We start from the raw sequence: 26,817 nt of genomic DNA, 5'->3' as shown, positions 1-26,817 counted from the left end.
CAGAATTTTATAGAGTATATACCACATCCTTTCTGACCCCATCCTGTGGTAATATATCCTGCATGATTCAAAACATCATGGGGGTCAACTTACTTGTTTCAGAAACAGCTCTATTTGTGCATTACACTATGTGCTCAGGGGTAGAGTTTCCTACATTTTCTTCAAGGTAGGTAGGGTGGTCAGATTTTATGCAAAAGAAATAATGGTATTACAGTCTTTAGATATTACTACTAATGGGTTTTTAGCTTTTATTTATTCAGTGATTCAAGAAAACTGATATCTCCATCTCCAGACGTAGCTTCTATATTTTTACATGTTCTTGTTCTTTCTTCCTTCTTGACCACCCAATATTCCTCCTCATATCCTTTTCTATATATTATGGGATTTTTTTTTCACTAATTCTTTTAGGGTAACTCTGCTAGTCAAAAATTCCTCTTGTTTTTGCCTTGTATGAGAACATTTTGATTTCACCTTCATTCCTGAAAGATATTTTTTGCTGGATATAGAATTCTGGGTTGACAGTTATTTTCTTTCAGCACTTGAAAACAGTTGTACCAGTTACTTATATCCTCTACAGTTTCTGATAAAAAGTTCATTGTCATTCAAATTGTTTTTTCACAATGAGAAAAATATCATTTCTCTCTCACTGCTTTCAGAAATATTTTATAATCTTTAATTTTCAGAATTTAACTATGACGTGTCTTGATACCATTTGAGGTTTGCTCAGTTGCTTGAATTTGTGAGTTTGTGTTTTCCAAACTGGGGAAATTTTCATCTATATTTCTTCAATTATTTTTTATTCCATCTTCCTTTCTACTTCCTGCATCTTTAATGACAGGAGAGTTATCTCTTTCAGTATGGTCCATAGGTGCCTGAGATGTGGAACTTTGAGTCAAATAACTAGAAATTTTAGAGTTACTCTTTGGGTATAGGCCTTAAATCCAAGTTAAATATCTGTAATCTTCTTATTAACTATTATAGTTTAAAATAGCACATGCTATAAATATAATACTTGTAAAGATGAGATACAGTTATAGTATACAAAGAATTTACAAGTTGGGAGAGGAAAATTACAGTATGAATTATTTCCAAGAATAGCGAGTCAGGCCAGAAAGGAGAAGAACTGCAAATACAGGTTGAAGAAAATCACTAAAAAGTTATATTATTACAGCTATAGATAAAAGCATTGTAGGAGAAGAGAAAAAAAATCTCAGAATATGATTTAAAAAAATAGCTGGCTTATAAAATTTGCTATGGTCTGAATGATTTATGTGTTGAAAATTTCATCCCCAATGTAAAATGTTGAGAAGTGGGGTACTTTGAAAGGTTTTTAGTTCATGCAGTCTCCACACTCATGAAGGAATTAATGCCACGATGAAATGATTTTTGGAAGTGGGTTTCCTCTCTCTTGCCCTTCTGCCTTCCGCCACGTGAGGACACAGATAGAAAGCTCTCACCAAAAGGCAGCACCTTAATTTTGTAATTCCCAGCCTCCATAACGATGAGAAATACATTTCTACTTTTTATGAATTAGCTAGTCTTAGGAATTCCGTTATACCATCACAAAATGGAGTAAGATACTGTACAGCTAGTTATGAAATATTTTATAGGACCCTATTTTATTATTTATTGTTTTCATTTTAAAGGAAATAATGCAGCAAAATATATTTTTTACTCTCCTAATTTGATGGAAAATATATATGTCCACATATAATTAAAATATAAGACATTCTGTATTAAGAAAACATAAGGTGTGTTATAGTGAAAGATAGATTGAGATTAAAAAAAACAACAACAACTCTACAGCAAATAAGAAGTAAATACTATTCCAGTTTCTAACGTAAAGAATTTTCAGAGATTATTTTACTTACATCTTGTGTATTATGAGGTTGGGAACAAGAAAGTATACATTTGTTTGGAGTCAAAGAGAGTAAATTATTCATTCATTTATTGATTCAACTGTAGGTTCATTTAATTGACATTTCCATGCTTGAAACATACCATTATCTATCTCAACAATCTAGAGATGGATATTTACAAGTGTTATTTGAAGCTTTTAGTATCATTCAGATCTATAAGTTTAGGCTGCCAAGAAATCAGTAAAAGGAAGAATAACTAAATAGTAATAGTACATGGGGACAATTTTCACAGGAACTTTTTATCTGAATTTATATAGTAGATGTTTTGTTATGTTTATTGTTTCTTGCTTGTAACATTGAAAAAATGAATGGCTCATTTTATTAGGACAGGGTAGAAAAGTGAAAAATACAATGAAAAATAAATAGTCAAAATTAATTAAATGTAGAACAGACATAATTATATAGACAAAATTTTGTTGCCTTTGACAGAAAATGAGATGGGATATTTTACTTAGTGTATTTGCCACTAACAGTAAATAATTTAATAATGTATCCTACCTTTATTAGCAAAAGGAAAATAAAAAGCATAAACTTTTAACAAATAGTAGCTGAAAACAAAATGCAGATGGTGATAAATATTTGTATTAAAATTTGTACTAATAATCATTCCAATAGCAAGAAGAAAGAAGAAAATAAAGATAAAAGGTAAAAACCACAGAACATACAGGAAGATAAAAGTAATTGCCCAATACTTTTTAATCATACAATTGTATTTTTAAATATAAAAGTCTTTATAGCTACATATTAATGTTACACAGTATTCAAAATAATATTACAGTTTTTCATGAACTTACTATGCAAATTTGTCAATGATTTCCTGAAAAATTGAGCTTCTTTACATATTCATGTTGAACAGAAAGTATAGTCAGATTTATCAAACTGCCTTTGGTCATCATTGTTGAAAAACAGTTTTATTAGTTTAATTTTGAAAATTTTATTTTACATAAAGCAAGAGAAGTACAAATAATTCAGAAAAAAGTAAATATAAAAGTGTGATTGGTTTTTATAATTTTTACAATAAACTCAACAAATTAAAATAATGTTTGTGTCTTTGTTTCTAAGATCTTGATTCTGTGACTATCAAATTTCTTTGAATCAGAGTTTTTTGTCAAAATATCTTCACGAAGATATAATATATGCAGATTACAATGTAAATGTAATATACTACTGTATCATATTTATTACATGTAATAAATATGTTATATTAGAGCACCAGATTTTTTAGTCAAGGAAATGTTATTAGTCAATGATATTATCTAAAATTGCCAGCACATACAAACAATGTAAAATTTCCAATTGATTATTGTTTATATATTGTTACAGAAAAAACACAATTTCTTATTGCTTGTAAATTGAGTCTGTAAATTACTTTGAGTGGTATGGATATTTTAACAATATTAATTCTTATAACCCATGAACATGATATATGGTTCCATTTACTTATGTCTTCTTCAATTTATTTCATCAATATTTTGTTGTTTCCATTGCACAAATCTTTCATCTCCTTGGTTAAATGTATTCCTAAGTATTTATTATTTTTGAATATTGTATATTGAATTGTTTTTTGTGATATATTTTTGGATAGTTTGCCATTAATGTATTAGAACACAATTGATTTCCTATGTTGATTTTATATTCTGCAACTTTACTGAATAGATTGATTAGTTCTAATAGTTTTTTGGTTAAATTTTTAGAGTTCTCCGTATATAAGATCATATCTGCAAACAGAGACTTATTTATTTATTTCTCTCCAGTTTGAATGGTTTCATTTCTTTCTCTTGCTTAATTATTCTGGCTAAAACATCCAGTATTAGGTTAAATAAAAGTAACAAAAATGAAAATTATTGTTTTTTTCCTGATTTTAGAGGAAGAACTTTCAACATTTTACCATTGAGATGATGTTAGCTGTGAGCTTGTCATATACAACTTTTATTGTGTTGAGTTACATTCCTTCTACACCTAATTTGTTGGAAGTTTGTATCATGATAGGATGTTATACTTTGTGAAATGTTTTTCTACATCTATTGAGATGGTCATAGGGTTTTTGTCATTTATTCTGTTAATGTTATGTATCACATTTATTTATTTGTGTGTGTTGAATTCTTACATCCCAGAAACTGATCTCATTTGAAGATGGTAAATGATCCTTTTAAGGTGATGTTGAACTCAGTTTGCCAGCATTTTATTGAGGATTTATGCGACTATGTTTATTGTGAATACTGTCCTGTAATTTTCTTTTATGTCTTCCTGGGGCTTTGGTATCAGGGCAATGCTGGCTTTGTAAAATTAATTATGGAAGTGTTCCCTGCTCTTCAATTTCTTGGAAAAATTTGAGAATGATTGGACTTGATTATATTTTCAATATTTGTTAGAATTCAGCAGGGAAGCCATCAGGTCCTAGACTTTTATATTATGAAAGATTTTTTTAATTACTACTTTTTAATCTCCTAACTCATTATTGGTCTGTTCAAGTTGTCTATACCTTCATAATTCAGTATTGGTAGGTTGTAATTCATAAGTACGTAAAAATTAAACAACATGCTCCTGAATAACCAATACATCAAAGAAGAAGTCCAAAAGGAAATTTAGAAAATGTTGAAGCAAACAAAAATGGAAATGAAACATACCAAAACTTACAGGATGAGCAAAAGCAGTTTTAAGAGGGAAGTTTATAGTGATAAATACCTACATAAAAGACAAAATAAGTGATATGGTTTGGCTCTGAGTCCCCAAGCAAATCTCATCTTGAATGGTACTCCCATAAATCCCATGTGTTGTGGGAGGGACCCAGTGGGTGACAATTTGAATCACAGGGGCGGCTTCCCCCATACTGTTCTCATGGGAGTGAATAAGTCTCAAGAGATCTGATGGTTTTATCAGGGGCTCCTGCTTTTGCATCTTCCTCATTTCCTCTTGCTGCCACCATGTAAGAAGTGCATTTCACCTCCTGTCATGACTCTGAGGCCTCCCCAGCCATGTGGAACTGTAAGTCCAATGAAACCTCTTTCTTTTGTAACTTGCTCAGTCTCTGGTATGTCTTTATCAGCAGTGTGAAAATGACTAATACAAAAAGATATCAAATAAAGAATCAAAGGAGCAAATGTTATACCTTCAGAAACTAGATGAAGAACAAACTACACCTAAAGTTAGTAGAAGGAATTAAATAACAAAGATCAGAGCAGAAATAAATGACATAAAGATTAGATAGGCCATAGAAAAGGCCAATAAGACTTAGATTTTTTTTGAAAAGATAAACAACTTTGACATTTCGCAAGATAAAGAAAAAAAGAGAAGAGACTCAAATGCATAAAATCAGAAATGAAAGAGGAGACATTACAAATGATGCCACAGAAATAGAAAGAATCCATAAGAGAATACTATGAACATTTATATATCAACAAATTAGATAACCTAGAATAAATGAATAAGTTCCTATTCTCTCTGTTCTTGGTGGTTTTAATCAGATGAAATTCTTCTAAATGAGGTTTGGATGCTTTCATTTTTACCTTATTTTAAGGGTGTCATTTTGACTTTACCATCTCATGAGGTCTTTCTTTATTTTCCAAAAATATCAAGAAAGAGCCAACACACACAGTTTCCTAGAAATATAAATGGATAAGTGTTATTTAAGGTTAAACCATCATCTAGTGATTCTTTAGAATATTCTGGAGCAGAAGAAAGAGGTGAGAAAGAAAACCAGAGGGTCAAAATTATGATGCTTTGTTTTGTATATGGAAATGAAGAGTTTAGGCTTAAAGGCTTGTAAAGGTATAATCAAAAAAAGATCATAAATGTAAAGGACTATAACTAGCCTGTGTATTCAAAGAGGTATACAAAGAAGCATCAGGGTTAATTCTAATTCATAAATATAAAATGGTGCAAGAAGCAGTGGTACAATTGAAGGTGCTGGGAAATGTGAAATAGCTCCAGTGATGGGAAAATATATTGATCAAGGGATTTCTGCTTGTTTGTTTTCCAACTAGAGAAATTTAATGAAAATCAGAGGGATAAATCTAGAACTGAGAGTGCAATAATTCTTTCGTTTAATATAGGCGGGTTAAGAAGTAGATGAGCAGAAAATAAAAGATAGCCTAAGAGGCTCACATTCAACCCACAGCAAAATCTACCACATGCAGTAATTGTCCCTTTTTACATTCCCAAATGTTGTATATAACCAATGTTAAGTTTTGGTCACATTTAATTGCTTATTTATTTAATCAGAGATTTGCTTGTTTTTTATTTATGCATTTTTAATTTCCCATGGAAAAGTTAACAATTCAGGTGCTTTGTGCTAAGGGCCTAGAAATACACTTTTGAAGTAGGTAATTTTAATAAGTTCTTGAAAAAAAATCTGAGCATGTTTTTGTCTTTTACATGTTTATGTAACATTGTAACAAAAACATCGATTGCCAGTTCATGTTTACAAAACATTTGTATGTAGATGGACTATTTTGATCCAGCATGTGTTATATAACTTATGTTTAAGGTATGTCAATATTTTCAAAGAACATACATAATACAACTTTAGAATGTGGAGAATATATTACCATCATCATAGTTAAATGAGTTAAAACTCAAAACATGTAAGTACTTAGTACTAAAAAGTCTAAAATTAATATTATTATTTTATCATTAATACTTTTCCGTGCTTTACACATTACCCAAATATTTTCTGTCTATTATATATCTACATATTCTGGTATCTATTTCATAACTAACATGTAATAAGAAAATATGAATTGTTATCTAAACAAACACTACATTATTTTGGTTTTCATAACAGATATACGCATTTAATTTATAAATTAAATAATAGGGCATATCAGTTCTATTTTCCATCTTGTTTCTGAAACTAAAATATATGAATAGATAAACAAGCATTGAATATCAGAAAATTTCATTAAGCAGCTATATATGATGATTAAGAGGTACTTGCAAGGTTTTAAAGCTATTTGTCAACCACTAAAATGTCCCTAAGCTATTAATTATAGAAGACAGTTATTTCACCAGCAAAAGATGCCTCATTAGAATAACAAGAGATGGATGTTTTCATTATACACATCTTTGTTTTGAGAGCTGCCGGCCAACTCTGTCTCTTTGATCATAAATGTTCACGGCAAGTGAAAATTTTGCTTAAAGGGTGCTGCCCATGTCATTTTACATAGAATTTGTAGAACTAATGTTTAGAAAGTAAACATTTTACATAGAATTTGTAGAACTTTACTTAGAATGTAAAATGTCATATTGTTTCAAGAAAGAATGTTTATTTGAAAACTTATATTGATTACAGAGTAAAAAGGCAATATATTTAAAGCTTTTTTTAAAAAAAATATTGTCTAAATAGGAGGGCTAAGACAGGTGAAAAATAGTTAAACAATAAATACATCTACAGTATAGGGAGAATTTAATTATCCGTTGCCCAAAGCTGTGTTATTATTAAGTTGTTAGCTATAGCATAATTTCTTACAATGTAATCAGGTTAGAATTGTGTGAAAATTCCAAGAGAAAATAAATATTTAGTATTCTGCATCTTTTTTTTTTCAATTTAATACTAGTATATACACTATTCTAGACTTTAGTTTACTCCTAAGGTTGTCAAGATTCACTTTATGACCTAGAAATAATACTGACCTTCTTGTTCAATGCTCCATGTACGTTTTAAAGTAGTGTGTTCACCACTGTTTTTGGTGGAGAATGCCGTAAACATCAATTAGGTCAAATTGTTTAATATTATAGTTCAGACCTTCTTTCAGCCATGAACTCCCACATCCTCATGAAAATCACAGAGCCTTTTCCAGTGACGGCATCGCTTGCTGCCATTCTCAGCCTGCAGAGGACAGACACCAGAATTTCTCAAAGAAAATCTCACAATGTATTGCTGAATTACTTAGTCGAGGACATGTCCTCTTGCCAGGTATCCTCAGAAGGTGCTTAAAAAGAACACATTATTCTAAATATATTCTAGGATCCCTAGTCTATAAGCTTTTGGATTCCTTGCTCTATGTTAGCACAAGAAAATTTTCACTGCTCAACCTGATATAATGAATATGGTCATTGAATCCAGGCTTTACTCGACCTGTTGATTAAACTCGAGTACCATTCCCAGATCTTCAGGTTATACATTTCATTCAGAACATCTGAAGTGCAACAATATGAACAAAACTGGTTTATTCATGATTTTACTCTTTAACTTCTGGTTTATTGCTTTTCAAACAAATTACCCCAATTTCTACCAATGTAAACTCTATTAATCAGTCTCTCTTGTGGTAACGAATAAACCATAAAATTAACTGGATTAATACAATAAAGGATATGTTTAAGTCCTGTCACAGCCTGATCTAGATGAAGTGGGGTAGCTTTCCTTGGTAGATCTGTTCCATGATTTAATTCATCAATGCCAATACTTTCACTTTCCAACTTGTGAAAGTGTCATTTTAAATATATCAACTTGAAATTTGCTTAGGAACAGGAAGATAAGAACATGGACAGTATGCAGATGGTTTTATGATTCATCTTGGAAATAGTACACATCACTTTTGCTCACATCCCTTTGATCAAAACTTTGTGTCATAAACCTATCTGAAAGGAAAGGCAGGTGGAAAATGTAGTCTTTCTGTACATACACAGAAAAAAAGAAAATGATATAGGATTAACTCTGTACATAGCATTATCTCTGCAACAGTTGCTTTTGTCTTTATAAATTACAAAAAAAAATATATAGAGAACACCTGTAGAGAGCCAATGGTGACCAAGGAAAGATAAAAATATAGTCGTGCCCACGAGTTAGTAAGGGGCAGGATCTCAGGCTCCAGCAGACAGGGTGAGAATCAAAGAGACACTCTTCAGCTAATTCACAAATCCATCGTGTCAAATACTTACCATTTTTGTGGTGACAGTAGTTGAAATTTACTCTCAGCTACTTTGAATTGTGTAATACATTCCTATTTACTACATTCACCATGTAGTGCAATATATCTCAAAGGAAAAAAAAAACTTGATTTCTCCTAATTGAGGCTTCATCCCTTTAGATGACTGTGTTCGTAAATCATAACATCATTTTTTACCCCATAAACATATACAACTATAATGTGTCAATTTACAATTAAAAATGAAAATTGAAGAAATAAAAATTTAAAAAAACTAAAAATTTAAAAAGACATTATTGAATTTAGTTACAGGGGAAATATGAAGGAAAAATGGTGCCCAGAGATACAATAAAAGAGATCTTGAAATTTACCCTTATTTACAAAATCAAAATTTGAACTATCTGCTGGTTAAAAAGTCACTGAACAGTTGAAGCCGGGCAAACTGTGGAAACTGTGGTTTCTGTAGCATGATTTTATAGATGTTAATGAAGAGGACCCATTGTTGTGGAAAGAAGGGCAGGAGATGGGAGACTGCGGAAGCCGACTAAAATAAGATTTGTCTCCTCGGTGTTCCTCTCTCTATACAAAGGACGTTCTACCATATTCAAATAAATGACAGCAGATTTTTACTGATTTTGAGGACTATAGAGCTCAATTTTCCCTCTTTTGAGATTTTCTTGTTATCTCAAATTAACTTAATCTTCGAATCTCATTTTTTAAAAAAGTATTTATATATGAATGTATATGCCTTGTTATTCTTTGCTTTTTGACATTCCAGAAAAATATATTTGTAAAATGATGAGTATACAGATGAAATAAATAGAAATGACAAAGGATTAAGTAAAAAAAATACTGCTACTATATGATATTTATTACTTTTATTGCCAACATTTAGATTATTATTATCTATACTTAATATAAAATGTTGCCTTACACCTGAATCAAAATATTAGACTCTATTTATTTCATCTCTTCTCAGAATTTATGTTGAATGCAGATTTATGCTCAAATTAGTACCAGACTCTGAGATTTTTGGAAATTCAACAGATTTTTGGCAGCAAAATTGTTAGTATTTCTGGTTAGCATTATCAACAAAATTGTTAGATTTTTCTTTGCCCTCTCCCACTGCCTTCTTAAGACTCTTGGCAATACTATTATTATTTTTTGTGGACAATTTTATTATTGTCCCAGTCTCTTGTTCTACAATCTTCTAGGTCTTTGGGAAAATCGGGTTCCTTCTGGGAATCCAATGATATAAATGTCGGATCTCTTCATTATTTCTCGCAGGTCTCTAGAGCGGGTCTCTAGAGCTTTATCCATTTCTTTTTCATTCTCTTTTCTCTCTTTTGTTCACATTGGGTAGAGTCTTCTGATCTATCTTCAAGTTTACTGCTCCATTCTGTCATCTCCACTCTTCTGTGGTGCCCATTCAAAAAGTCGGCTGCTGCCATTATTGTATTTGTGAGTTCTACCATCTCCATTAGGTTCTTTCTCCTAACTTCTATTTCTGTGTTAAAATTTTTGATATTTTCATTATTTTTATAATTATTTTATGAAAATATCTTTAATTTTTTTAGATAATTTCAATGTCGGATTGATCTCAGCATCAGTGTCAGTTGACTGTTTCTCTCATTCAAGTTGTAATTTTATTGGTTCTTCATGCAACAGGTGGCTTTCCATTGTGTTCTGCACATTGTGTCTGTTATGTTAGGAGACTCATAGATAAGGCCTTATTTTAGTAACACTGTTTAGTTTTCTTTAGCCAATAACACTGTTTAGTTTTGGCATGAAGGTCCTGACCTACTCTTCTGGGCTATATCTCCAGTCACGGTTTAACTCTTATAGACTTTGTATTTTTGGTCTGCATGATTTATCTTATGCCACCTGGGCTCCCTCTGCTTCCTCCTGGTGATGCTGGAGGGGGAAGGAGGAAGGTCAGACCACCTGTTGCCCATCGGTATGTGAAGACAGTCTCTGGTTGGTGGAGATAAAATGTGCTTCCCAAGTCAGTTTCTTGTGGTGGTGGGATTCCTCTAGCCATTGCTACCTGCTGCTGCCCCATATCTCCGTGCTAGAGGGGGAAGATCTCAGGCCCAGAGCAAGGAAGAGGCTTCCAGCTCTAAGCACTTCCAGTGACAGGATCCTCAGACTGCTCAGCCACATAGTTTTCCTGAATGGGAGAGAGAGGCCTCAGACTCTGTGTTTATGAAGAACACCTGCCAGACTAGATGGTATTGTGCTGGGAGTCCCTTGACAGTGTCCTCTGCCTGCTATGCTATGCCCTTGATGGGAGTGTGGGGGACTTGGGGTCTCAGCCCTGGTGGAGAAGTGGTGCTTTCCCTGGCAGATGGCTGCCACATACTACTCATTGGCTTCTCTTGCCAGTTCTTCCAGACTCACCTGGTGGTGATGGCAAGATTCCTATTCAATCAGGAAAAGAATGAGCCTGCCTAGGCAGCGTTTTTTTTTTTTTTTTTTTTTTTTTTGCCTGGTTGGAATTTGAGAAATACTGGGACTTGGTCTGTTGGGGAGGGAGCATTTGTAAGACAACCAACTGATGCCATGTGTTCCCAAAATAGTTCACCTCTTTGTTCTCAACTTTCAGTTATCTTTTATTGTCTCTTGTATTACTTCCAGGGTATACAGGCATGATTAGTGGAGAGGAGTAGAGAGAGAGAGACGAGTCTACGCTATTTTGTCAAGACCAAAAGAGCTATCTTTTTACAAGATTTAGAATGTATCAGTGGACATTTTAGGCAGCCTATTAGCTCCTTTCATAAAATCATGCCGGAATCCCCTAGGAAAAAAGTGAAAATAGCATTCCATAGATGGAAGGACAGGAAAATTTCAAAGATTTAATTCTTTAACCACGAGTTTCAATATTTTTCTCTGAGCATGTCACTAAATCTAATGCTACATCCCAAATAGACGGTGGTGTTAAACCCGTACATCAGCTTTCTAATCAAAGCAGCACAAGAAATTCTCTTTTAATTTCCTGTAGCCCTGCTGTGTCTAACCAAATACCATTATATGGTTTGGCTCTGTCCTCACCTAAATCTTGTCTTGAACTGTAGTCCCCATATTTTCCATGTGTCATGGGAGGGACCTAGTGGGAGGTAATTGAATCATGAGGGTGGGTCTTTCCTGTGCTGTTCTAATGATAGTAAATAAGCCTCACAAGATCTGATGGTTTTACAAAGGGGAGTTCCCCTGCACAAGCTCTCTTGCCTGCTGCCATGTATGATGTGACTTCGCTCCTCATTCACCTTCTGCTATGACTGTGAGGCTTCCCCAGCAATGTAAAACTATGAGTCCAACAACCTCTTTCCTTTATAAATTACCCAAACTTGGGTATGTCTTTATTAGCAGCATGAGAACCAACTGATACACACCGTAACAGCTATGGATAACAGAAAGGAATAGAAATAAAAGAGGAATTTATAACTAAGTATTTGGTAAGTAAGTTCTTGAAGCTCCTGGGACACAATCCCTTTTTATGAGTAGGCTGCTTCCTAACAGTTGTAAGAATCCACTTGATTTATCCTTTAATCTACCATGTTTAAACAGCAACTATCTTTCCCACATACTTGGGGTTATTATAGTGAAATATTTATAAATCTTAGCATTTACGTCCTTCTTGAGCAATAATGTACATAAATGAAGTAACCAAAGAACAGGTCATCTTTGTTTGACTTAATGATTTTTATGTGTAAACACCAATGTAAATAACACTTAGATCAAGACAAAGACAGCACTACATAATGTTTCTATGTCAATTTTTCTATATTCATTCGCACAAAAATAATGTTTATTCTGACTTTAACAGAAGACTTACAAATTCATATAAATAGAATCATGGTGTACACTATTTCAAGTCAAGCTTCTTTCACAAAATTTGATCTCTCACAGATACTTCATCCTGTTGCTCATATCAATAATTCTTTTTATCTGTATGATTGTCCATTGTAAGAATATATAATTATTTCTGTATCAATAATACATTAGATGGCCATTTGCATTGCTTTCTGTTTTTGACTATGATGACCCATGAATTTACTTACAAGAGGTGAGAACATAATCAAATGAGTCTCTGAAACTCAATAACGAATAGTTCAAAGGTTTATTCTATAATGTATATGTATCAAGCAGAACATTGTACTGGTGACCGATGCCATGGGAGGACTCCAACTACATGGACAATAGCAAAGATCATCATTATGCCAACCACCAGGAAGAGAAGTTAAACACTTCTGCCCCTGTATCTTGGTATCAGAGTCCCCAAGGAAAACACAACAGGGTCAAGCACTGGGAGAACAATGATTTTACTCATTGCTATGATCTGAATTTTTCTGTTCCCGCAAAGTTTATGTGTTGAAACCTAATCGCCAATGTGATAGCATTGTGGGATGGGTCCCTGGGGAGGATCATGAGGCAGAGCCCTCCTTATAGTGGCTGTGTGGGCTTTCTTATATCTTGATAAGAAAGTGGTCCAGGCCCAAGGCCCATTCTTATTAGGTCAAGCATGAAGTGCAAAAAAACGGTGCACATAAGGTTGCCTTTCCTAACGGTATACACACACAAAAAATTGCACACAGTGCCTGGAAAATAATATACCTTCAACAATTACCAAACTTTTTTCTTCATTTTCCCCTTTGTAAGGTTTTTAAAACAAACAAAGAACATCAGTATTACTTGTTTTTTGTTGTTCCAAGAATAGCTTATTTTTGTCATACCAAAAAAAAAAAAAAAATCCCTTCCATGTCCATTTGAGGAATATACAATCTGCAGAAACTGTTGCACTCAAAATCAAACTATTTATTACAAAGCGAAACATAGTCTAACCATATGATCCAGAAATTACAATCACCACTTTCATTTCCAAATAAAATAAAAGCAAACCTGCATGTAACTGTATCTAGAAGCTTTATTCATAATCACCAATACTGGAAGCAAACATGATATTCTTCAATGGGCAAATGGATAAACAAATTGATACAGTTATACAGTGCCATATTATTTAGTGATTCAAGAAATTATCTATCAAGCCACAAGAAAATATAAGGGCATCATAAATGCATAGAGCAAAGTTAATAATCCAAAAAAAAACAAGATGTTTGTGATTCCAACTATATGACATTCTGGAAAAGGCAAAACCGTAGATAACAGTAAAAAGGTCAGTGCATGCTAAGGGTTTAAGAGGAGGTGGAGAGGGATAACAAAACAAAGGGAATTCTTAGGAAGTGAATACTGTGAGTGGTAGTTATGATACTGGAATAGTGGGATGTAACATCTTGCATTTTTCAAGACCCACAGAACTTTACAAAGCAAGAGTGAACTCTGATGTAAACTATGGACTTTTGTTGATACTGATATGTTAACATGGGTTAATCAAGTATAACACATGTACTACACTAATAAAAATTGTTTAAGAGGAAACTGTAGGAGTTTGGGACAGAAACTATATGGTAACTCTATACTATTTTTGTTCAATTTTTCTGCATCTAAAACTGCTGTTTAAAAGTCTATGAAATATTTTTTTTTCCTGCTAATTTGTTTGAGTTCCTTGTAGATTCTGGACATTAGTTCTTTGTCAGATGGATAAGGATTTTCTCCACTCTGTGGGTTTTCTGTTTACTCTGTTGACTGTTCCTTTTGTTATGCAGAATCTCTTTAGTTTAATTAAGTCACGTCTATTTATCTTTGTTTTTGTTGTATTTGCTTCTGGGTTCCTGGTCATGAAGTCTTTCCCTAAGCCAGTGTCTAGTAGAGGTTTTTCCAATGTTATCTTCTAGAATTTGTATAGTGTTCAGTGGGCTAAGGACATAAATAGATGATTCTCAAAAGAAGATATACAAATGGCTAACAAACATATGAAAAAATACTGAACGTCACTAATGATCAGGAAAATGGAAATGCAAATCAAACCCAAAATGTGATACCACCCTACTAATGGGAATGTAAACTAGTACATGCACTGTGGAAAACAGTGTGGAGATTCCTTAAAAAACTAAAAGCAGAACCACTATTTGATCCAGCAATCCCACTACTGGGGATCTACCCAGAAGAAAAGAAGTGATTGTACCAACAAGATTCTTGCACACGCATTTATTTTTATCAGCACAATTCAAAATTGCAAAAATGTGGAACCAGCCCAAATGCCCATCAATGAATAGAAAAATAAACTGTGATTATATATATAAAATATGGTATACATATACACATACATACATATATACATACGTATACATATATATGTATAAAATGGAATAACTACTCTGCCATGAAAAGGAATAAATTAATGACATTTGCAGCAACCTGGATGTAATTGGAGACTGTCTTTTTAAGTAACTCAGGAATGAAAAACCAAACATCATATGTTCTCACCCATAAGCGAGAGCTAAGCTATGAGGATGCAAAAGCATAAGAATAATAAAATGGATTTTGGGGACTTGGGGGAAAGGATAGGAGAGTGGTGAGGGATAAAAGACTACAAATGGGGTTCATCTATACTGCTCAGGTGATGGGTGCATCAAGATCTCACAAATCACCACTAAAGAAATTACTCATGTAATGAAAAACCACCTGTTCTCCAAAAGCCAATTAAAATTTAGAAAAATAAAAACAAAAATAAATAATAAATAAAAGTATATTAATTGTAAAAAATCAAATTAATGTGTAAACTTTTAAGAGTGCCCTTTATGGCAGGAATGAAGCCTTAGATTATTGATGTAATCTGCCATTGAGAATGCAGACAGAAGTACTAATAAAAATGCCTTTAAGGGAGGTAGTATTTGGCAGAAGTGCAATCTGGTTTAAAAAGTCATGTCAGTGAGAGTGTACTGTTTATAAATATGTAGTATATATGCACTATATACTTCTTCTATCTAATCCCCAATATTTGTATGATTTTTTTCTACATACTTGCCTGCAGGAGGTTGTATTTCATTGAGTATTTTTTTCTTGCAGTTTTCATACTCACTTTATAAGTGTTTGATCTCCTTGAAGCCATATCTACTCACTAGTGGTGGAGCAATAAAATAAAACTTCTTTCAATAAATTTATGTTTCTCTTATCTAAAATTACTCTTTTTAAGCAAATGTCATGCTTTACTCTCTAGAGTTAAAATTTAATATCAGGACATCTTTAATTATTTGCATAACACTTCAGGATGCAGAGAGAAAAATGGCTTTTAGCCAAATGGTTATTAATATTATTATTAATATTAATTTGAAAAAATATTAAGTTTTTACTATGACACACTAATATCATGAGCAATGACTTTCCTTTTTATTTTTAACTAGGCAGTCAGGCTATGAAAAGTGAAAATGGGAAATAGGTCAAAGATCTGAAACGCTCACATTCCTGACTGTAACTTAATGGACTTAAATAACAGTGAGTCTTTAAAGTAAATCTGTAAAGAAAATATCTCTGAATTAACAACCACTTTTATTTATTTATTTATTTTTTATTATACTTTAAGTTCTAGGGTACATGTGCACAATGTGCAGGTTAGTTACATATGTATACATGTGCCATGCTGGTGTGCTGCACCCACTAACTCGTCATCTAGCATGAGGTATATCTCCTAATGCTATCCCTCCCACCTCCCCCAACGCCACGACAGGCCCCAGAGTGTGATGTTCCCCTTCCTGTGTCCATGTGTTCTCATTATTCAGTTCCCACCTATGAGTGAGAATATGCAACAACCGCTTTTAATAACTTAATTTATCTTTAACACTCTACAAGAAACATTGGGGGAAAAAAAGCGGTGTTTTCTGTAAGACGAAAAGGTTTTGGTCTCTATATGCACTTGAAACTTGAAGAAAATTTATTGAAAATAATAAACACCTACAATGTATACTATAATGAATCATTTATTTTTTCAAATGTGGGATGTGATCTGCAATAAATCCTATAAGAAATGAAAGAATAGAGAAGTTTATGTGACCAGAAAACATTTTGGAAGATTTGGTTAAGCCTGAAGATGGACATAATGTTCTCTCTCTCTCTTTGAACTGTATGCACTCTCACAATTCAAGTATAGTTCTCTGTGGACACCTTTTGGTTTCTTATATATTCAAATGAACTGATTACTTTAATTGAAGGAAAAGAAAGTCCACTACCTCCCTCACATTAATCTTATCTCGATTAATTTCACTAGTTCCCCTGCCAATTAGCCTTAGCAATATGTTTTCGAACTGCAGGCTTACGTAGATAATGATATGGAAATTCAGGGACTCCTAGGCTGAGGTAACTTTTTGGTGTGGCATTAAGAGAAATACCTATTGTAAATGATGAGTTAATGGGTGCAGCACACCAACATGGCACATATATACATACGTAACAAACCTGCTCTTTGTGCACATGTATCCTAGAACCTAAAGTATAAAAAATAAATAAATAAAATAAACATAGTATACATGTAGCATTGTGGTAAATATCAAATTCTTTCTTCTGCTGGAGGAAGGGAAAAGCATTGTTCAAATATTTACCATTTTTTCTTACCCATGGTGTTGAATTATTAAAGCCATGCAAACCTTTTTATTTATTTATATTTATTTTCCATGACTTCATTTTGTTATTGCAAACTGATGTTAACCACTCACCTTTGCCAAGCTAATGACTTGAGACTTCATTCTTCGATATGGAAGGTGTATAGAAAGTATGTCTGAGAAATTTAACAATCCTAATGTTAAACACGGTTAACTATCATCTTATTTAATGGTGTTAGAATGATTACTTTCTCATATCAGTGATTTAAGAATGGTATTTCCTTTGAAATATGAGACTATAATTCATGTGAATCTTGTTTTGCTAGGAAATCAAACTAGTAATTAATCATTTATTAATTTGCATCCTTTCTTTTAATTGATAGAAAATTAGAAAGCAAATTTTATGTTGGGAAAAGGGAATTATATATCCTCTCTTCTTGTGAAACAATGGCTATGAAAATATTCCTCCCTCTTGACTCTGTTTTTGTAAAGAATTGAAAAAATTCATTAGTGTTGAGGTAAAGAGTTGAAGAAGAATGAGGACTGGCATTGTCAGTTCCAAACATCAGAGAGGAACATTGTGTTTCTCTTGTATAGATGCAGCATGTTCAGTGCAATCCTCCAAAATTATAACTTAGGAAAAAAATATTTAGGTGGTCATACAAGTAGAAAGGTTTTCAATTTCTAGCAATTACTTGAGCATTATCAGAATTAAATTTGAGTAAAATATGTGATCCAATTTGGCTGACATTTTCATTTTTGATATTGGTGATGATTTAGGTTTATGCAATAGACAAACAAGTAATTGCAAAGACCGTTGTCTTTAAAGCTAAGGTCATTTTATTTATTTTCTGTTTTACATTTGAAATTAAAATAAAACTTCTAAATCTTAGCTCCCTTTTTCTTAAAAATAATTTGATGATCATATCCTGTAGTAATCTTATATTATTTTTAGCGAATAAATGTGCAAATATTAACACTTAATAAATTTGCAACTTAATTATGTATTTCTAATAAATACATAAAATTAAATATATTATGTACTAATTCATGATATATTTGCAACTTTATCCAATTTTTGAAGAATGAAAATTATGGTGCAACTTAAAACTATTATTTAAGATGATGCTATTAAACAAATAAAAGAGAGTTTTGTGCCAATAAAACAAAGTTAGATTTCAAACAAAAATACTGATATATTCATTATCAGAAAATATCTCAAGTTAGCATGAAAAGAGCAGACTCTTTTGAACAGTTTAATAAAATGGGGGGTGAAAGAAGAATCGATAAATATATGTCTTTTTATTTATGAGTAGAGAATAATAAACTAAGAAAAATTTTCAATAATACTTGCTAACTCTATGTTCAATATTAGAGAGCTTTGTTAAAAAGATGTGTCTTGAACCTCATGTAACTTACTTGAAAAACTGTATTAATAATCAGTTATTAGTTAAACTAATTTTTAAAGGCCATTTTTAGGGTAAGTTTAAAAGGAAGTTATGTTGCCAGCAGTAGTTTATTTGTTAGTGTCTGACTTATGTCAAATCTGTAGGAGCAGGGTATCTTAATTACTATTTTGGAGTTTTCTGTTTAAAAACTACAAATCTCTTCTGAACATCACTTATGTAACCAAATGATATTTTTTTCTCACTTTTAAAAATCCAAGGTAGTAATATCAGAAATTAAAGCTATGTTATGCACGGTTAAGTTTCCTAATCTTCATGCTGAAGAAATTAGAGATAAAATTTTATAATACATACATTTAAAACTATACAATTTTCCATGAATTGTAAAGTATATAGCTTTTTTCACATTTTTAATAACTGAATTTAGAATGTGTCTTATGAATGACAGTACTTTACAGTGCGTTAAACAATAATTGGGAGTCTCATTTATTTTCTAGTAAGAAATAAAGTATTGGTGAAGAATATATTATATAACATTACATATTACATAACATATGACAAATATTTGAAATATATGTATGCATTTTATATTATGAGCAGGCGTATGTGGTGATAAAGACAATTTTTATATAATAAATTTATATTTTATATAAATTTATATTAAATTAATACAGTCAATAAATAGGCACATAAGCAAATATAAATGTGACCTAAAAGCTGAGCAGATATTGCATTCTTGAGATACAAAAGACAGAATATTTAAAGAATTGTTATTTAGCTGAGTTAGAGTAATGGCAAACTACTTGGAGTTATTAAAATATTTGATGAAGGCAAAATGTGAACTCTAATAGCAAATTTAAAAAATCATTTAAAGTTTTTTAAAAAAGTATTTTTTAAAAAAGATTTTAATCACTACTCACCTAATTTCACCAATAGTCATCTTTAATTCCCCAAATATGTCACACAGTGTTTTCCTGCATGCGACTGATTCCTCAAATGGCTCTGCTCCAGTCAGGACTAGAAATAATTTAAGTTTCCTACTTCAGATAATTTCTTGGCTGCACCATTAATTTATAAATTCTACGATAACTTCAAATGTTGCTTCAAAGGAAGCCAGAAATTTATTCTGATTACTGTATTTCAAACAAGTAGGCATCTTAGCTCACCCATATTTTAAATGATCAATATCAAATATCTTAAGTATGAGTTTTAAATTATCTTGCTCCCATCCCATCATAAAATGGTGAATATATACTTATACAGCAACACAGAAGTTGACTTAAGAGGTAAGGGGTAAAAGGCACAAAATTGTCCTCAGAACATCTTTCAATATGTTATTTTCTATTAGTCATGTATAGTTGATACATTAAGGCGGTGGTGTGTACATCTATCACTGGTTTTCCAGGGCTCTGGGGTGCATATGAGAATGACTTACTATTTAAAACTAGAATATCCTAGAAGCACTTTAAAAATAACTCTCATCATGGAGAGTAACAGCCAATATCAACATTGAGAGGTTTCGGCTTACATTGAGGGGTTTAGACTATAGCCTTCACAATGGACTGTAGAGTATAAAACTGTTGGATTTCAAATAAATAAAGATCTAATACTGGTTCCGCTGGAAAAGTAAAAAATATAATTACCTGGCTCCCTGTCCCAACCAAGAATCATGATGGCTCACTTTAAAACATAGGTTAGCTTACCTTCCTAGGTATGAATGTTTAATTCTACCACCTTCTTGACTTGTTGCTCTTAAAATAATAATAACAATATTAATAATAATAAATTATTATAGAACTATTTTGTGTGATTTTTCAATGCAACTTTCCTTTTCTGAACATTATTTAGTATGCATTAACAGACTCTTTTAAATTAGGAAGCAATAATTGAGACATTATTGGTTACAGAGGGGCAAGAGTATGTTGTTCGAATTGCTGTTATAAGATCAATAATAATACGCATTTACTTCCAAAATATACAAAGCTGGTTAATTAATGTTACGGCAGTTATTTTTTCTCATTATATCTGTTTACTCTCACTTACATCCTTGAACATTAACTTGTTAAATTTCTGTAATTATGTGTTTTAACATCATTTGCTTTGGAGTACGATTTAAAAGTCAAGTACTATAGAGCTTTTGGGCAGTGAAGACTATAAACATGTATATAACTGTGAAGCTTATTCCTGCTCAGTGACACATGTTGGTCATCTAGAGATATTTTTTCCTGAGCAAATGTAGCAAAGAAATGGATAAGAAAATATCCTTATAATTAAGGAAAATAGTACATTTCCTATCTTTTCTATGACTCATTAAGAATGCCCTCCTTCCATTTATTTTTAAATCTTTATAGTTTAATTCCCTTAAACGCTTTACCAAGCGCATTATTAAAAACTAATACATTCAAGTTACTTATTCGTCAAGCTTGAGGGGATAATAGGGATTGCATTCCCCAAGTCTATATTTTATACCACTGAGAATTCAGTTGTTGTCATGAGAGTTTGTGACTAGTTCTAGGACATAGTCTCAGTTAGGTAGGCATGTTCAGACTGGAGAAAAACGACATGATTTTTGTTTCAAAGATAAACTAGATTATTTTCAGTACTACTTTTAAACCTATGCTAAAACTTGAGCTATAAAGCAATAAAATAATTAAAAATAGTATTCTATTTATTTTAAATTATTTATATTCCATTGCTTACATAACTTGATTATATAGAGACCATAAAATTATTGGAGGAGAGATTTTTAGGGAATAGCTTCTAATTTAAATAAAGATAATTTTTGGTTTTGTTTTTACTGATATCAGTGAAGTCGTTTAGCATTGATTAAATAATTATAAATAAAGCATCGATAATACTTAATGTATGACTTATCTCTAAGATACAGCAATATACTTGAAGACTGAGCTGTATGTAAAGTGATGATTACATCATGTAATGAGAAATATTAATAACTTGGGACATGCAAAAAGTATGAAAGGAGCATAGACCAGGGAGAGCGTAGTTCAGTTAGGAAAACAAAGGCTCCCGAGACAGAGAAATTTGTCTGAGTCCAGAAAGATGAAGAAGTTTGCCAGATTAAGGCATTCTATTGGGGGATTCTTTTGTTTTTATTTCTGGATAAGAAATGACCACACACAGAGCTTCTTGAACAGCACTTATCTATTGTATCACTGTTCTGTAGGTTGGAAATCTGGGCAGGCTATGAGGGGTTCTCTTTTTAAGGCTGGACAATGTCACGTGTTGTCTAGGCTGGCCTCTTCTTTGGAGGCTTTGAAGATGAATCTGTTTTCAAACTCATTTTTGTTGAGGTCTCCATTTTTTTGCCAGTCATCAGCCAAGAATTGCTCACAACTCCTAGAGGCCGATCTCTAATCCATGCGTATTGTCCCTCCACCTTCAAGCCAGCAGTGCTACATTCATTTTTTCCTTGTACTTTGAATAACTCTGACTGCTTCTACTACATGCAACCAGAAAAACTCTGCCTTTAAAGATGTATGCAATTAGAGGCCGGGCGTGGTGGGTCACGCCTATAATCCCAGCACTTTGGGAGGCCGAGACAGGCAGATCACCTGAGGTTGGGAGCTCGAGACCAGGCTGACCAACATGGAGAAACCTCATCTCTACTAAAAATACAAAATTAGCTGGGCATGGTGGCGCATGCCTGTAATCCCAGCTACTCAGGAGGCTGAGGCAGGAGAATTTATTGAACCTGGGAGGCAGAGATTGCAGTGAGCTGAGATCGAGCCATTGTACTCCAGCCTGGGCAACAAGAGTGAAACTCTGTCTCAAAAAAAAAAAAAGAAAAAGTATGCAATTAGATTATGCCCACTCATATATTACCTATTCTAATTAGTTAAATGATTAAATGTTAACTGGTTAATAGTCTTAATTACATCTGCAAAATCCCTTTTTATGTTACATAACAATCTAGGGCATAACTAATGGGGCACAAGGCCTGGGGGCCATCTTAAAATACAGAAAGTACAAAGATGATAAGACATAAACATTGCAAATACGTTTGCATAACTACAATTTGTTGAGTATTTTTCTGAATTTGTTAGGCAGGGCTGATTGGTGTGGGGAAAGAAGAGAAGCTACAACTCTTCAAACTTCCCCATATTTTATATTGGGCTTCAGGTTTATCTGCAGATGAACTTTACCTGTGTGCAGGGCAAATTCACTAAACTTAGGAAAGATCAAGGGCCTACAGCAACTCTACTTTTGAAGGTGAATGATGTCAGGCTTCAGGTTATCAAAGAGGAGAAGCACTCAATTTCTGTTTTGTTTGTATCTTCTAATATTTTTAATTGAATTGATATAAGAAACATTGGCATAAAATGATTGAAGCAACAGCTGCTTTATAGGAATTAAATGTTGGCAAGTCAAACAGTATTCCAGGACACTGACAACACGTAGATGTGATATAATATTGTCAAATATGTGAATGAATTAATAAAAAAGGAGTTTGTTAATAAATGAATGAAGTTAGCAAGAGCACAAACCAAAAAGAAGTTAATTAGTCATATAATTAGAAATGGTGGCACAGAGTATAAAGAGCAAGTGAATGGATTTCATTGAAAGGGGAAGAGGCTGGACATCTCAATTTATGTATCTGAACTTGACACCAATGTGCGAGTAAAATTCATTGACCAAAAAAAGTTGAGCATCACTCATCAAAAATCTGAAATCTGAAATACTCCAAAATTCAAAACTTTTTGAGCACCAACATGATGCAACAATTGGAAAATTCAACACCTGACCTCATACAACAGGTTATAGTTAAACACACAGTTTATTCAGCATCCCCAAGGAAAATAAGACCCTCCCAGCCTCCTTCATTTGCTACATACATTTCCCCCCAGCACAAGCACACCCATAAAGAATAATAAAATGGCATATGTGTAGGCCAAAAGTGTCAATGGCTGATATCCTAAAATGTCTCACCTGAGGTCAGGACCTACATGCATTACTCACTGTACTTTTTTTTTTATTCTCTGTTCATTAGTGTAAAGGTATTTTTTAAAATGTCAAAAAGTCCTGCAGATACCCTTATGCATAACAGTGACAAGAAAAAGTTAAAGCATTTATATTTATCTATAGTGCAGTAAGTCAAGCTTTTGGAGAAACAGGACAGCAGTATAAATGTAAAGTGTCTTAAAGAAGAGTAGGTTGTTGGAATTCCACCAGATATGGCCTGATAAAACTGTACTATGCTGAAAGTGAGTAACATGATTTAATAAAGAAAAGAAAAACACCCCACAAAGATAAACATGAACATCTTCATTGTGTATTGAAAGAGCCAACCTGTCAGCATTGCTGTGAACACACAGCACTTAATGATACGCTGACCAGAAAACAAGCAAAGGTCTATCACAATGAACTGACAATTGAGTAGAACTGTGAATATTCAATAAGCTGCTTGCAAACATTTAAGAAAAGGTATAACATTAAACTTTCAAAGATTTGTTGTGATAAAGCATGTACTGATCATGACACAGTGAGGAAATTCATTGATGAGTTTGTCAAGTCATTGCTGATGAAAATCAGACACCAGAAAATGTCTAAATGCTGATGAAACATCACTGTTTTGGTATTATGGCCCCAGAGAGACAGCTGATGAGACAGACCCTACAGGAATTAAGTATGCCAAGACAGAACAACTGTGCTGGCATGTGCTAATGCAGCAGGCATGCATAAGTGTAAACTTGCGGTGACAGGCAAAAGCTTGTGTTCTTGGCGTTTTTGAGGAGTCAATTTCTTACCAGTTGATTATTACGCTAACAAAATGGCATGTGTCACCAGGGACATCTTTTCTGATTGACTTCACAAACATTTTATACCAGGGGCTCATGCTTACCGCAGAGAAGCTGGACTGCATGATAACTGCAAGATGTTATTTCTTGACAACTGTTCAGCACATCCTACAGCTGAATATCTCATCAAAAATAATGTTTATGTAATGCATTCTCCGCTCACCACAAATGTGGCTTCATTATTTAGCTAGGTGACCAGGGTATTATTTGTTCAATGAAGAGTAAATGTAAAAACACTTTTTTGAACACCTTGCTAGCAGCAGTGAGCAGAAGTGTGTGTCTGTGTGTGTGTGTGTGTGTGTGTGTGTGTGTAAGGCTTTAAAAATGAGTTTTTCATGAAGGACACTGTATATGTCATTGCCAGCACTTGGAGCAGAGTGATTACAGGCAGTTGCACATGCCTGGCACAACCTCTGGCCTGCGACTATGTTTAGTGCTGATGATGAGCAAGGTGGTAACTAGAAGGATTTCATATGTCCAGTGAGTATAAAAAATGTTTAGTCTTCTTACATATGCAAAAATATACCTTCAGAGTCCATCGGTTAGATGGAAGAAAGGGATAAGGAACAAGATTTTGGCTGGGTGTGGTGGCTCACACCTGTAATCCCAGCACTTTGGGAGGCTGAGGTGAGTGGATCATCTGAGGTCAGTTCGAGACCAGCCTGACCAACACGGTGAAACCCTGTTTCTACTAAAAATACAAAAATTAGCCAGGCGTGGTGGTGCACACCTGTATTCCCCGCTGCTAGGGGGTGCTGAGGCAGGTGAACTGCTTGAACCTGGGAGGCAGAAGTCGCGGTGGGCCGAGATCATGCCACTGCACTCCAGGCTGGGTGACAGAGTGAGACTCCGTCTCAAAAAGAAACAAACAAACAAACAAACAAATAAACAAAATTTAAGATCTTAACATTTATAATGAGGCTCCAGTTGTTCATTCATTGACTGATGGTGAAACAGCTGAAATGGTTTGGAATCAAGATGATTGCAATAATAGTGATCATGAAGGTGACATTGCTAACACTTCAGAAATAGTGCCTGTCAATGACAAGGTGAAAAGGTGTGATGAGCTTATTGCAAAACTAGACCAGTGTGCACTCACAGCAGAACAAGAAGTCATGTCGGTTTATAAAAGCAAAGAGAAACATCTAAGACAGAAATGGTTGTTAATGAGGCAGATGACTGTGGAGGAGATATTTTTAAAAGCCATCCGGCAGAATGTGGCCTCATTCCTAGAAACATAGCCCTACAAAGGGTTACAGTTTGTCCTTACCTTTACAGTATCAATAGTATTGACTTCATTAAGATGAAAATGATTTCTATCAAATTAATTGATATAGCACAGCTTATACAGATGGTGAATGCTTTTAATGATCATATAGACAAATTAAATCAACTATATATATATATATATGTAAATTAAAATTATGGTCTCAATCTACCAAAATATGTTAATAGAAATAAATGCAAATTCCAGCACTGCAGTTTACAAAACAGTAACTTTACAACAAGAGTATAAAAGGAATGTATACAAATTAAATTATTTGTTGAAAATTATGAAGACATTTTCTAAGTTTCCATATGGTTTAGTCTTTCAACTCCTTTAAGTTTTTCTAAATGATTCTAAGTAGCATTACCTAAACACCCTTTTCAAAATTGCAAACATTTCCTTTGTCACTCCAGCACAACTCTTCCTCCATCTTTTTTGGATTTTTTTTTTCCTATAACACTAATCACCTTCTAATGAATTATAAAATTTAATATTGATAGTTTTATCATTCATCATCACCCATTCCAACACACCAGAACATGTTTCATGAGGGCAGAAATTTATGGTTCCTTTGACACTGACAGGCACAAAGTAGATCCTAACTAAATATTAGTTTTGTAGTTAAAAGAAAAAATGGATTAATGAAAAGAAGTATTTGGTTGCATTTTCTGTGCTTAAGGAAAGACATTAACAAACTTGATGTAAGCCAGAAAATGGTGAATAATCTGAAAATATTACATAATGAACAACTAAAAGAAGGAATGTTGTTATATTAGAGATGTGATTTGGCAGAAGGCATTCACTATAATTTCCTTTCAGTATCATTGTTGAAATATGGAAGAGCCATTAAATTATTGCAGTTGGTTGGAGGTTCAAAGTTTTGAAAACTGAGTAAAAATTTTCTCAATATGTATTTTGCTTTAATCCAAAGAGAAATTCAACAAAAATTAGAGTTATTTTTGGAAATGAAATTAATTGCTTTAGGAAGCTCTTTATCCCTTTTCACTGGAATTGTTAGAAAAGTCACCTACTTGAGATATTGCTATGGGTT

The sequence above is a fragment of the Homo sapiens genome, chromosome 18, assembly GCF_000001405.40.
Source record: "Homo sapiens chromosome 18, GRCh38.p14 Primary Assembly".
Classification (NCBI taxonomy): Eukaryota; Metazoa; Chordata; class Mammalia; order Primates; family Hominidae; genus Homo; species Homo sapiens.
This window is presented reverse-complemented; position numbering follows the sequence as displayed.